This window comes from Homo sapiens, chromosome 7 (assembly GCF_000001405.40).
Source record: "Homo sapiens chromosome 7, GRCh38.p14 Primary Assembly".
Taxonomy (NCBI): domain Eukaryota; kingdom Metazoa; phylum Chordata; class Mammalia; order Primates; family Hominidae; genus Homo; species Homo sapiens.
Genome location: NC_000007.14, coordinates 115,933,417 through 115,948,505, shown reverse-complemented (window position 1 = coordinate 115,948,505; position 15,089 = coordinate 115,933,417). Strand labels below are relative to the sequence as shown.

Here is a 15,089-nt window from a genome sequence, read left to right as displayed (position 1 = left end):
GATCATGGTGGATACGCTTTTTGATGTGCTGCTGGATTCAGTTTGCCAGTATTTTATTGAGGATTTTTGCATCAATGTTCATCAAGTGTATTGGTCTAAAATTCTCTTTTTTTGTTGTGTCTCTGCCCGGCTTTGGTATCAGGATGATGCTGGCCTCATAAAATGAGTTAGGGAGGATTCCCTCTTTTTCTATTGATTGGAATAGTTTCAGAAGGAATGGTACCAGTTCCTCCTTGTACCTCTGGTAGAATTCGGCTGTGAATCCATCTGGTCCTGGACTCTTTTTGGTTGGTAAGCTATTGATTATTGCCACAATTTCAGCTCCTGTTATTGGTCTATTCAGAGATTCAACTTCTTCCTGGTTTAGTCTTGGGAGAGTGTATATGTCGAGGAATTTATCCATTTCTTCTAGATTTTCTAGTTTATTTGAGTAGAGGTGTTGGTAATATTCTCTGATGGTAGTTTGTATTTCTGTGGGATCAGTGGTGTTATCCCCTTTATCATTTCTTATTGCATCTATTTGATTCTTCTCTCTTTTTTTCTTTATTAGTCTTGCTAGCGGTCTATCAATTTTGTTGATCCTTTCAAAAAACCAGCTCCTGGATTCACTAATTTTTTGAAGGGTTTTTTGTGTCTCTATTTCCTTCAGTTCTGCTCTGATTTTAGTTATCTCTTCTGACAAAGGGCTAATATCCAGAATCTACAATGAACTTAAACAAATTTACAAGAAAAAACAAACAACCCCATCAAAAAGTGGGTGAACGACATGAACAGACACTTCTCAAAAGAAGACATTTATGCAGCCAAAAAACACATGAAAAAATGCTCACCATCACTGGCCATCAGAGAAATGCAAATCAAAACCACAATGAGATACCATCTCACACCAGTTAGAATGGCAATCATTAAAAAGTCAGGAAACAACAGGTGCTGGAGAGGATGTGGAGAAATAGGAACACTTTTACCCTGTTGGTGGGACTGTAAACTAGTTCAGCCATTGTGGAAGTCAGTGTGGCGATTCCTTAGGGATCTAGAACTAGAAATACCATTTGACCCAGCCATCCCATTACTGGGTATATACCCAAAGGACTATAAATCATGCTGCTATAAAGACACATGCACACGTATGTTTATTGCAGCATTATTCACAATAGCAAAGACTTGGAACCAACCCAAATGTCCAGCAATGATAGACTGGATTAAGAAAATGTGGCACATATCCACCATGGAATACTATGCAGCCATAAAAAATGATGAGTTCACATCCTTTGTAGGACATGGATGAAATTGGAAATCATCATTCTCAGTAAACTATCACAAGAACAAAAAATCAGACACCACCTATTCTCACTCATAGGTGGGAATTGAACAATGGGAGCACATGGACACAGGAAGGGGAACATCACACTCTGGGGACTGTTGTGGGGTGGGGGGAGGGGGGAGGGATAGCATTGGGAGATATACCTAATGCTAGATGACGAGTTAGTGGGTGCAGCGCACCAGCATGGCACATGTATACATATGTAACTAACCTGCACATTGGCACATGTACCCTAAAACTTAAAGTATAATAATAATAAATTTAAAAAAAAACTGAGAACTTTTTTCTCCAAATACTGGATATTATTCATTATCCGGAAATGATCATGTTTGATAAAGTGATACTTGTGGGCCAGGCACATTGTCTCATGCCTGTAATCCCAGTACTTTGGGAGGACCAAACAGGAAGATTGTTTGAGGCCGGGAGTTCAAGATCAACCTGGGTGTGATCCGACCTCTAAAAAAAAGAAAGGAAAAGAAAAGAAAAGAAGAGAAAAGAAAAAAGAAAAGAAAAGAAGGAAGGAAGGAAAGAAAGAAAAAGAAAATAAAGAGAGAGAGAGAGAAAGAAAGAAAGAAAAAAGAAAGAAAGAAAGAAGGAAAGAGCAAGCTTGATATGGTAGCATGCACCTGTACTCCAAGCTACTCAGGAGGCTGAGACACAAGGATCACTTGAACCCAGGATTTCAAGGCTTAAGTGAGCCATGATCGCACCACTGCATTCCAGCCTGGGTGGTAGAATAAGACCCTACACACACACACACACACACACACACACACACACACACACACGTTATGTTTCTGAGATTTTAAAGCACTTTTTCTCTAAATCCGAATTTGCTCATTTATTTGGACAATTCAACAATTTGTTAGAAAAGGGAATGCAATATTTGTCCTTATGTACATACTAGATTGTGAAGACATTTAGGGTCTGAAGAGCTCAGGCCTAATTTAGACTCTACTCCAAACTCTTCAAATCTTTTAAAGTCTCTAAACATGTGACTCTGTTAGCTAAAGAAAACACTTGTCTTCCCTATATGCCTGTGTTTTTATAAAAATAAAATCAAATAAGGTGTATGGGAATAGTTTGCAAGTTATAAAGTTTTATGAGAGATTATTACTCCAAATTTTAATAAAAACTTTATCTAAAGACTCCTTTCTAGTTCTAATTCATTTTCTAGAACATAGAATGGTAAGTACTTTTTGTATAGGGCCAGATAGTAAATATTTCAAGCTTTGCAGGCCATACAAAAGTCTTTGTCACAATTATTTAACTCTGGCATTGTAGCATGAAAGCAGACACAGACAACATGGAATGAATGAGCTTGACCTCATCCAGTGAAATTTATTGACAAAAATAAGCTATGGGCCGTAGTTTGTCTACCCTTGGTCTAGAATATGAAAATTCAATTTATGATAGACCAGAATTGGGAAAACTGCATTGCAAGCATTGTTTTTCTCTTCCTTATGAATCTCAGAAAGGAGGGTTATTATTTGTTTTATTTCTATTGTGTTGTATGTAGGCAAATAACATTTATTTGGGGTCTAATGGAAAACACATTAATTAGATGTTGAATATGTCTATACGTGGATTTTTCCGTATATCACAGGTAGAGAAGACACTTCACTGAAATGTGTGACATTCCAAAAATCTCAGTACTAATTCTGTTTAAATACATTTTATTCCTTGGCTTGCTGTGGCCTCACCTGTTACTCCAGTGTCCCTCTTTAGGGTTTAGCAATGAGGGTCCCATGATTGAATCCAGAGTGTATCCTCTTAAAATGACTCTACCTGAGAACCATGGTCTGGCTCCATGGACTAAGGAGTACCCATCTACGTGACAAAATTATTCTGGATCCATTTGTCAAATTTTCAAATGTTATTAGGGATAATCTAAAAGTCACAGGAAACAAGAATGCTGGAAAAAGGGAAGGGTAGCATAGAGGAGGCAAATTTACTTTGAGGGTGAGAAAATAAAAGAAGAAATGACATTATTATGTTATGACAATGAGGAAATTAACAAACAGTGGATCTGAAAAAAAAAAAAGACCATACAAGATTTTAGTTTGAGTTTAGCAAATTTTTGAATAACTTGTTGAACAGGTGACTACAACCATTAAAATGACTAAGAACAGTTTTTAAAAAATAAAAAGTATATCAGACTATACAATTATCTAGTATGAGATATTTTAAATTATGTGCCATATCTATTAACGAGTCATGGAATCACTCAAATGAGACAAATGCAGCATTTTAAACAAAAAAGGAAGAATAGCATTGAAAATATGAGAGTATTACATGTAAAGAGAATAGGAAAGCCCTGTGAAATCTTTGTTGCAGTTTTATTTACTAAGAGTGTGCCAAGTCACTATATAAAGCGTATTTCTTATGACAGATGCATTTGAAAGGTGGGAAAGCCACAGGTTGGCAGAAAGAGTACTGAATTGAGAGAGGAAACCTGGGGCTTATCTCCTAAACACCATATACTCTTGGGCATATAGCAGCAATTGTGGCATGGTTGGCCTTTGAGTACCTTTCCAGCTCATGATTGGAATATATTTTGGAGTTGGCTTAGGAAATAAAAGCTAATACCTGAAGACACTTTGAATTCTATGAAGTTTTTATTTCTATGTATCAAAATATTCAGAAAGTTCTATTTCTTTGCAGGTCAAAATGGTGAGGTCAGAAGGAAAAGTAATATAGAGAACAGCTGTAATTGAGACGTACAGGTTGAGAAAATTACATGAAAAAAACATGACCAGGCAATGACAATCTCTTGACCGGTGTTAACAAAACAAAACCCAAACAAAAATAACAATCAAAGAGAAAGAGTGAAGAGCTTCTACAACATGTAGTAGTTGTCCTCTTTAGCTTTCTTGGAAACACTTTTGTCCATATGTGTTTTTGTGAGCCATGTTTACAAAAATTACATGAGTAGAAAGTTAAAAGTATTATTAGATCTTTAATTACTCTATTACTCTTGTTTTTGCACTGTAAAAAGTTTTCTAAATAGTTTGAAGTTTTTTTACTTAATCTTTACTCTCCTCTACAACCAAATTCCTCCTGCTTTTGTGTAAGAATGATAGTTGGTGTAGAATACGAGACCTGACAAAACTTTCTAAGTCAGGAGTCACAAAATGTTGAAGCAAAAAAAAAAAAAAAAAAAAAAAAAAATTCAGACCTGTCATAGTATTATTTTCTTTCTTTTTAAAATCTTTTTTTAAAATTATTTTTTAATGCTTTTAAGTGGATGTACACCCCTAAGATAACAACAGATTGTACATTTTCCATAGTTTTGCCTGGCAGCACTCCTTACTCCAATTTATACATTTGTATTATCTGCTCTGACTGTAAATGCATTCAGGCTTTTAATCCACCAACATTTTAAGATCTTAAAAAATTGTTGTGCAGAAAATGAAGGGCCAGCATCAACTATCAACATTCATTCTTTAGCCATGCCTTTATTGGTGTGTCTGTGTTTATATGGTACCACCCTATATAATATTTGTAATGCCTACTTTGTTGAAATTGTTTTGGGAGAGAGGCAAAAGTCTCTTTAGTAAATATAAAAAATAAATAGGAAAGAATCTAGTACATTAAAATTTCTTTAAAATAGAGGAACTTAAAAAAATTATTGTAAGTGACATCAGGTACAAATTGAAGGGAGGCTCATTGTGTGTTCTCTACTACCATTTTGAAGGTTTGTTTTTGAACTAATAGTACTTTAAACTTCAAATATGGCTAGGGTTATCTTTTTTTTTAAATCTGTTTCTCTGTCCTCAAGCTTTTCTTTCCATGAGAAAAAATGACACAAAATAAGGGTCCATAAGGCTTTTGCTACTACTTAAATTTTAGTTTAGAGTCCATTACATGTTTCAGTTACAGATACTTGGTTTAGCACCAAAGATAGACTGTCTCTCCCCACCCTTCCCACCACCACCATCCCACTCATTCCCCTCACCCCCTGTGAGTGGAATGAGACCAACAGCCATTATAGCCTTAAAGAAATGACAAAGCATTTTCAAACTTGCGATGTCCATTGACAATGTTTTGGTGCATTGCAGTAGAACAGAGCTCTTATCCAGGCTCCAGTAAGCACTTTCACCTGCTGGTAGAAAAATGTCTCTTCTTTTAATATTTTACTGCTAATGGCATTGTCACATCACCAAAAATATATGTAGAAAAATGTTATATTTCCCTACCTGTGTACTTTATGCTATATTAAAAACATCTCGTGACTCTAAATTCAAAATGTATCCAGGTTTTCCAACAACTCTGATTAACATTTAGCAATTACTTTGGACTCATTCTCCAAACATATTATTAGTTCTCATGCAGTATTACATTCATTAATGTATATTTTCAGATATCAAAATCAGTAGCCTCTTCCACAATTTCATATCTTTAATTTCTCCTGTCTTAAAAGTAAGTTTTAATGAAATGATTTCTTCTATGCTATAGCCTAAAAAGTTATCCAGTAATGTTTAATTATATTTACTTATCTTAAATGTATTTAAAAATAGCTATTCACATCAAGCTTTTAAAAAGTTTTGATGATGTTTGTATAGAAAAAAAATGACTGAATGGTTTTAGAAAGTTTGCTCTATTACATAAAGTGATGTTGCCAGAGTCTGATTTGTTTCACAATTGCTCAGGATCACCATTCAGGAGGGACTTTAATTTTTTCTTAGAAACATAAAAGCAACCTTATTAGAAAATAGGTTAAAAGATTGCTACATTTGAAATGATCTTAAAAAATTTAGGCTTAAGTCCTCAGTAATGTACATTTCCTAGTTCATTAATGCAGAAATACTGCACATAGATTTTAATCTTGGAGTTAATAATAAAAGCAATTTTCACTAAAAATATAAAAACTGTAATGGTAGAATCATGATATTGCATTTAGCTCTCCCACAAAAAGTCACTTTATTACTTTCTTTTGACACTTATTTTCATTCTGGGATTAATTTTACTATATAAGGGCTTCTTAACTATTCTATTAAAATTTCTATTCAGAAGCAATAATATCTAAGAGTGAATAATAGTCATGTAAATCATTATTTCATATTAATGTAAAAGATTTTGTAAGTTCTTATGAATTCTGCTGACATGCACAATTGTGAAAAGGTTATCTCTCCATTCTACAGTGATATGCGCTGGAACAAAGGAACCATTCTAAAAGCATCAGTGGAGTACATCAAGTGGCTACAAAAAGAACAACAGAGAGCCCGAGAATTGGAACACAGACAGAAGAAATTAGAGCAGGCTAACAGGCGACTTCTACTTCGGATTCAGGTTTTTATAAGAATGTAGCCATGAGTCACATAGCTTACACATGACTCAGCTGTCATCAGTTTTCTTCATTGGTCTCATTTATTTTTTCTCTTATTAACAATTATTTTTCCTTTTGAAGGATAATTTTACTGCTTTTTAGAAGTTCGTGAATTGGGTTGTTTCAATTAGGATTTGACTAGAAATCCAGGATCAAGATGGCTGAATATGTATATATGTATATATGTATATACACATATATGTGTATATATGTGTGTATGTGTGCATGTATATATATATACACATATATAATGACAACAAATTACAAAATGCATAAAATATAACTCATTTCATAAATGCACACATTATTATCCTAATCAAATAATAATACTAAGTAAAACATTTGTTTCTCTACATTATATTGGACATTAAATTCTCCCCTCCTTCTTTCATTTCTTTCCAACATTGCTATGGATTTCATTGCCTCAAGGCATGTTGTGACAGTGTATATTAAGTCACTTCTCATCTGTTCATATAATCCAAAATATCAAAATATGGGCTTTTATAACTCTCAAGATTTTTTAAAAATGTGAGTATGCTTAGCACCAGGTAAAACATTTACTGTTTCCATGAAAAGGTCCTGCATTTACAGTGAGAAATTAATCAGGAAGAATAAATAGATGACTTTCTGCTATCTCCAAATGGCTATATTGTAGTCTGAGCCACTATGGAACCATCATCAGTCATAACCTTTGTAGAACAATGAGACCAAACTTAAAAAAAAGTCTGAGTAATTTTCTCAGAGTTATTTTTCATGCATCAGAAATGTATCAATTTCATTATTTGCAAAGATTATTCATAATTTGTATTGTATTACTCTTCATTTTAAATGCTTGTTAATATTTTGATTCTATGTCTGGCTTATTCTCTAGTGTTAAATCCAATTTCAAAGACATTATTTAATGATTTTCGTTTGAAATTACAGGAACTAGAAATTCAGGCTCGTACTCATGGTCTGCCAACCCTGGCTTCACTTGGCACGGTTGATTTAGGTGCTCATGTCACCAAACAGCAGAGCCATCCTGAGCAGAATTCAGTAGACTATTGCCAACAACTGACTGTGTCTCAGGGGCCAAGCCCTGAGCTCTGTGATCAAGCTATAGCCTTTTCTGATCCTTTGTCATACTTCACAGATTTATCATTTAGTGCTGCATTGAAAGAGGAACAAAGATTGGATGGCATGCTATTGGATGACACAATCTCTCCATTTGGAACAGATCCTCTGCTATCTGCCACTTCCCCTGCAGTTTCCAAAGAAAGCAGTAGGAGAAGTAGCTTTAGCTCAGATGATGGTGATGAATTATAAGAAATAAACAGACCCAATTCATCAACTGGAAAGCAATTCTATGCTGGTGCTATGCAATTATGCTCTGTGTTTCATATGTTGCTTTGGCTTATTTTTTTTCTTAAAGGAATGTGTTGTTCATGAAAAACTGATAGAAGCAACAGAAGAATTCGCAGGAAGAAAAATCATAGTGTTAATGAATTATTGAGGGCGAAAAAAAGGTGTTTTCTTCTTTGACTACGGAGTCCAAATCCACTTAAATTCTGTTTTCCTGAAAAGAGGTACAGCATAAGAAATAGCTCTTTATTGATGTTTTAAAAGCAGCAACTTGGTGGTGTACTACTGGAACTAATGACTGCAAAGTGTTAAACGACTGAAATATACAAACAGTCTCTTAGTTACTCATTTCCATCTTCTCTTCAACTTTCACATCAGTCTTCCGGAATCAAGATCAACATATCAGGTGGTCATTGCCTTTCTCCATTGTCTAGTAGACATGTCTAAAGTTCAAACTTTATAGGATAAATAAATGTATAATAGATTATCTGTCACTTGTGGTTGAAAGGCAAATCTACAATAAATGTGAGAATTTTCCACAATAAAATATGGATAACTTATAAAAACATTGGTTACTAAAATTAGATCCTCATTTTATTGTAGTTGGTTCAATTACACTAATTCTAAAAGCATCCATGCATATTTATATCTCCAGTCTCTGTTCAGGAAAAGGAACATATTGAATATTTTCCTCAGGAATATGGACCAGAATTGTATCCCTTCACACAAACATACACATACACATATGCACATCATTCAGGTAGTATATGTTCTTTTGTTTTCTTCATGCTTCTGACTGCATCAGAATCACATTCCAAATTCTCTTTTCTTATGAAGAAGAGATGTCAGATCATCAATTTTAGTAAATAAAATATAAAATGTCCCCCTGCAAGGACAGTTTTCAGGTACTTAAAACTTTTCATCAGTATTGGACAGAAATCAATTAGTTGTTGATTTGGTTTTTCTCCAAATGGATAAAATATTGAAAATTGAATTGCCAATTGACAAAATAATTATTACAACAAACTATTTCTTATTATTTTCAGTTCTGAGAGGAACGTAAGGTTCTATTTCTATAAACACTTAGAGTGTCCTATGATCTTTGGTTGCACTGTTAGCATTTATTATAAGCACTTATAACTATGATGCTTCATTTAGATTTTTATCTCTTGCGCTTGTTTTAGGTTAGGAAATTAAGTTACCAAGCACGTTGCTCTGTGCTGGACCTCCAAGAGTGATCATCCGATCAATGAGTATTCATGGAGGCATACTCAGAACTGCAGTGAGTCCTGAGAAAATGTAGAAGAGTTGAAAAAGATATGGTCTTACTCCTAAGGTAGTTAATGAGAATGCATGAAAAACAAAAACAAAAGATAGAAGACATATAGAATAAAAAATCTAAGCATAAACTGTAAATACAGAAGGTCAGAGAAAATGAAAATGACTGACAAACTTTATGGGAACAGCAGAATTTGACTTCTCTTTGAAAGGCATTAATTGAGTGAAAGTGAGGGCATATAAAGGAATAATACCAACCAAATGATAAAAGTGAGAATAATAGGGGAAGTATCTTTATAGGACTTTAATTAGAAAGATCTGGATGCCCTAGAAGATGTCTGTTGGGGAGTTCTGAAGCATAAGACTGACAACAGGTTGTGAAGGCCCTTAGAAAACTATGGTGAAATAATATAGTATTAATATAATAGAAACAAATCTTTTTAGTAGCAGGGAGGATGCTAAAAACTAAAATATATATTACTAATGAGTGAGATGTAATCTTTCATGAATATTAAGCTTTGGGATAAATTTTGAAAGGATCTTTTAGTTGCTTCTCACATGGAAAATATGTCACTATGAAATGTGAGACCCTAATGCTGATAAAAGTAGAAAAATAGTAAATCATTATGGTATAATAATTATCTCAGGCTTAGCTTGTATCATTTGCTCAGAATTTGGAGAATTAAAATAATTTTATTGTTTGACATGGAAAAATAATTACTAACTTCTGGGTACAGTCATTAAAGCCTGATAGATAAATTCATCTGAAATATGCCATGTGAAACAGCTATTAGATACATCTTCTCAATAATTTTCAAGACGATATTACATACTTTTAATTTTATAACAAAATTCCACTTCATTATCTGAGTTGATAATTTGATTAAATGTTAAAAATTATAGATAAGGAATATATTTTGGAGTTCATAGAAAACACACCACTTTATTAGATAGAGACTGGCTTCAGTTCTCATTTTATCTGCTCTTCTCATTTCTTCATATTTTGAGTAGACTTGCACTGATGATGTCATTACTCAGTCATTATTTTCTGTTCTGTTAAGGTACAACTACTGGGCCTTGAAATCTATCCTTCACAATCTTGGCTGAGATAAGGACTTGGCACAGGATGATAGAGCCTGGACACAAGAGATCTGGAGAGGGAACTGCTATTTGCTGCTACATTCAGATTATGAGATGTCAGGGAACTGTAAAAAGGGTAATGAATTTTTAAAGAGAGTAAAGAGTTATGCTGTGTCCCGGTCAACTGAAATACATTAAAAATTAATTAGATGGTAGTTCTTAACTTTTTAAGGCAGATACCTTGAGAATCTAGTGAGTTATAGACCCTCTCCCTAGAAAAGTATAGAACTGTTTATATGGACAATAATTCACATGCATTCAGAGATCTTAGGGATCTCCTGAATGTTTTCTTGGATCCCAAGTGAAAAATTCCTGAATCAGGTCTCTTAGGTGTGCGGTTAATGTCATGTATAACAATGGGGGGACCCTTACTTATCTAAATATAATTATCCCAATCCTAATAATGATGAGGTTGCATAGGAAAGTAATAGTGTACCAAACTTTAGATTATTCACTAAAAAAGTTGTTCATTTATGAAGTAGTCGTTTATCAAACATGTCCTCCCCACTCAGCAAACTATGCCTTCTATTTATTATATATGGGTCAGTTTCACTATAATTACTGAGTGTTATAAACATCTGACCATAACATTTTGAAATGATGCAAATAAATTTCCAAACAAAAATAGTGTGAATTTAAAAGCAAATTATTTGAGTATCTAAGAAACAAGATAGACTTCTAGAAAAATTTGACTCTCTAGAATATTTCTTGCAGAAATGAGATTTTTCATAATAGTAAAAGAGGCATATGTTTATCAAACAATGCTGTCACAAAAAGCATCAACTGTAATGGGACTATTAATGCATAATTATTGATTTATTCATTCAATTAATATACAATTATCCCTTTTCATTTAAAGATTTAATTCATAATTACAATTATAATAAAACTTCCTTTAAAGTAAGATACAATAATTTTATTGTTTTTCATTCTTTTTTCAACAAAATATCCCATCCAATCATTTTTTATATTATTAAATATTGGCTGCTTTTTCTTGGATTCACATTAAACAGCCCTTTCCAACTTCCAATTGTCTTAAAATAATGATGACCTCCTGTGAGTAGATACAGCTCTTTACAATTTTTTTCTTTAGTGCCTTTTCTTCTTGAATTTTTCCTATATCAAATGGAGAATATATGTACAGATGGTATTTTCTCAGTTTATAGGCATATCAGTGACCATGGCTTTCTTTATATAGGTTTTTAAAAAAGCCCTAAATAATAAATAGCCAGATGAGCTGGGGACATTGAGAAATAGCCTTCCTCTTCCTTTTTCAACTCATTTTTTTCCCACCTACATGACTGTAAATCAAATATTTAATAGCTCTTACTTAAAAAAACAGATACAAAGAATGTCTTGATTTGGTGTGCTCATTTACCATAATGTCATGAGGGGAATTAGATTTCACAACTTTAAAAGGAATATATTTTTATTTTATTTTGAAAAACTGAGTCATATAGGAATTTTCTTATACTTCAAGGCATCATGGAAACACTTTTTTCCTGTTTGGATATTGTGGAATTTAAACGTTCAAATAAATAAATGGCATAACTAAGTGTTCCAAATTTTTTTACAATGTCTTTGACCCTATTCAAACACTTTAGGTATTTACTGACCGTCTGATGTGTAAGATGTGGAATAAAACTGGAATCAATTAATTATTTCACTGTGTTATCAGCGCAAGATCAACCATCTGGGTTTCTTAAAGACACCCGAAGGATTGAATTTTGTTTCAGTATTGATAATGGCATAGTCTCTATGTGCTACATGGAATTACATCATTTATCCCTCCAGTGCCCTATATGTTGATAAGTATGTCAGTTTGACTTAGTATACATATATACAGAGATTTCATTACATTTACCTAATAAATACAAAATACATTTCGAGTGTTACTGATCTCCTATGTTACATGAGCCTCCTGTAATCATTGTGCATTGATGTTCCAATGTTTTATTGTTTGTATGAATTTTAATTTGAAAACAAGGAAACAATCCAAAAGCAGAAAAAATAGCTTTTCTTAAAATTTTCAGTGCTACATTTTCCCTCTGAGGTCCATAGAGATTTGAATGTATAGGAGATTATCCGAAAACAGCTATTTTGATTAAAAAATATATCTCCCAGGATTCAACCAACTTAATGATGAAGTACTATTGTCTACTGCTTTATACATAAAAGGGAACTTTTTATCTGCTTGTAAAGGGATTTTTATGTGTATTTCTGCATAATCAGATGACTTCTATTGTGTTTTCTACTGATGAAATTCTCTGTAAAATGTCTTTTTCTTACATTATCCAACAGGCATAAAGAATAACAGTAAAGACTTTTGTGTTTGTAATACTACCTCTTTTATCCCTGCACTACTGTTTTATTGCAAAAATTCTATATTGTCACTGTATTTTTTCCATAGAATATAAATTTTGTTCTTGTGCTAAAGCTGGTAGTTTATGTAGCAGACAAAATATACAAATAAAAGAAGAGACTGATTTTGCTGAAAGAATTATATATAATCAAGAAGTTACATATTGTTCTTTAAATATGATACTGAATTTTAAAAGCAAACGAAATTCAAGAATCTTATCTAACAGCATAGCAGTTGCTTATGGCATACAAGGCTAAAATTAATTCAGCTATTTAATCTTAATAATTATTATGTAGTTAAAAATCTTTGACTTTAATAGTGTTTTACATATACAAATAGCTGAAGTAACATTCCTATAATTTTAATCTGACATTGGTTAGATCAAGAAAACATTGTTAATAAGACTGTAGAATTTGTAATTATTGCTATTTTTCATTTTTAATAACAAAGTAATGTGTCTTATTTTCTAAGAAAATGGAGAACTTTGGTGTACTTTAATACATACAAAAATCTTTGTAAAAATACCTTAAAATGTACCAATATTTTCTTTGCATATATTAAATGAAAGACTATAATTATGAAATGTTTTACAGTTTTTGTTCTGCCTTTGTATATAGACTGCACTGGAAAACAGAGAATGTGGGTTAATCATTTGAAAGGATATTTAAAACAGTCACCAGACATCACAGCTGACAACTACTCACTACATAGTCCATGCTGAAAATGATGATTCAATATTTCCCTATTAATGAAAATAATTGTTACATTCTTTAATATGGTCTCCTGCCATCTGCTTCACCATGCTGTTATGGCTTTGATTTATGGAAAATATTTATCAGAATGTTGCTAAATTGCTAATAGGCATAATGGTAGCAGTGAAATCACTAAGAAACTCTGCAAAACCTTTTAATATACTAGATGGTCCCCAGACAATCTAGGATAAATAGAATACTGTATTTTAATATGTAAATCATCTTAAAGCTGCTAATTGGTATTGACTAGACCTATCCTTTGATAATGAAATTAATAAGGATTTCAGTTGTGTTAAGACTTTCTAATATTTAATACCATGTTTATGAAATTTTTCCCTCCATACTTTATTTTAAAATACTAAAACAGGACTGCTCAGAGTTAACCATAAAGGGTGGTATTCTATGTTCAAATATAGGTTCTTTGCTTTTTTTAAAAAAGTGATATCATATGAATATTTTTCTTAAAGTATTATCAATGCCCAAAATACTGATCATTATAATAATCTTTGTATGGAAAGAATAATCTAATACAGGTAAAAATAAGTCAGGATGACTTCTTAAACAGTATATAGGCTGAAAATTTGGATGACTGAATGGTTTTGATACTTGATTGTTTATTGTATGTGTATGTACATCTGTGGTGTGTTTGGGCATACATATACGTGTCCATGTGGGAGCTTATTTAAAACGTTTTATAACTCTTCAATATTAGAAAAGACTGCATATAAGAATATGTTCTTCTTTGTTATTCTTTTAGCCCTAGAAAAATCCTTAAGCTAAAAAGAATATGTTATTCTTTATTGGAAAATACATGTAGCAAATACTGAAGCTGTCTCCAAATCTTTCCTATTAGAAACACACACACACACACACACACACACACACACACACATATCATACATCATACCCCTTACCATGAGTTGAGTTTAAAGGTGGAAAAGATGAAAAAAGTTGTAATAGGTTTTAATATTTTTGGTAAAATAATATTTGCAGCTATAAAACATTAAGATCTAATACAAGCATTGATTTTATTGACCATCAAAAGGAAGATTAAAACCCTCTAAAAAGTTATTACTGTCACCTGCAGAGTTCTAGCTATGTGGTAGTGAAGTAGTAAAATACAATAAGGCTTATTGGTTAAGTAATGGATGCCTATCATTTTAAATATGTATCAGTTTCATTAATTGGCAACCATAAGACAAAAGTATTACATTTGAGATAGTGATGATTTTGATAGGCTCGACCACATTGTGGTTAAGTATATGATTCACGTAATAAGAAAAAGGTGCCTGCAGGCTATTGTTCCTAGCGTGGATTAAAATTTACATATTGCTTCTCCTTATGTCAAAACATCTGGTGCTTGCAAATGCTAACATTTTGTTAAAAAGTTTCACAAGCCAGGAAAAGTGGATTGGAAACACTGCATGTGAGTCATTCAAGCATTATAATAGAATAAAAGCTATGTTCAGAAAAAATTAAATTGCTGAAAACCAATACTATAGTCGAGATTATAATTTATTTGCTTACACAAGTGAAGAGTGATGTGCATATGTGTAAAGAAAAAAT

At 32.6% G+C, this 15,089-nt stretch overlaps 1 protein-coding gene across 20 annotated transcripts in view; it reads left to right on the top strand.

Annotated features, from left to right (window-relative positions):
- The window catches only part of TFEC (transcription factor EC), a 224,745-nt gene extending 211,391 nt beyond the window's left edge, over positions 1–13,354 (top strand). For 18 of the 20 annotated variants that reach the window (XM_011515970.2, XM_011515969.2, XM_011515963.2 and 15 more), the window contains 2 exons: positions 6,466–6,613; positions 7,575–13,354. In XM_011515970.2, the coding sequence (XP_011514272.1) occupies positions 6,466–6,613; positions 7,575–7,955 (529 nt within the window). In that variant the 3' untranslated portion in view covers positions 7,956–13,354. Of the gene's footprint in view, positions 1–6,465 lie in introns of all 20 variants that reach the window. The other 2 variants (XR_007059992.1, XM_047420056.1) reach the window with 2 other exon arrangements.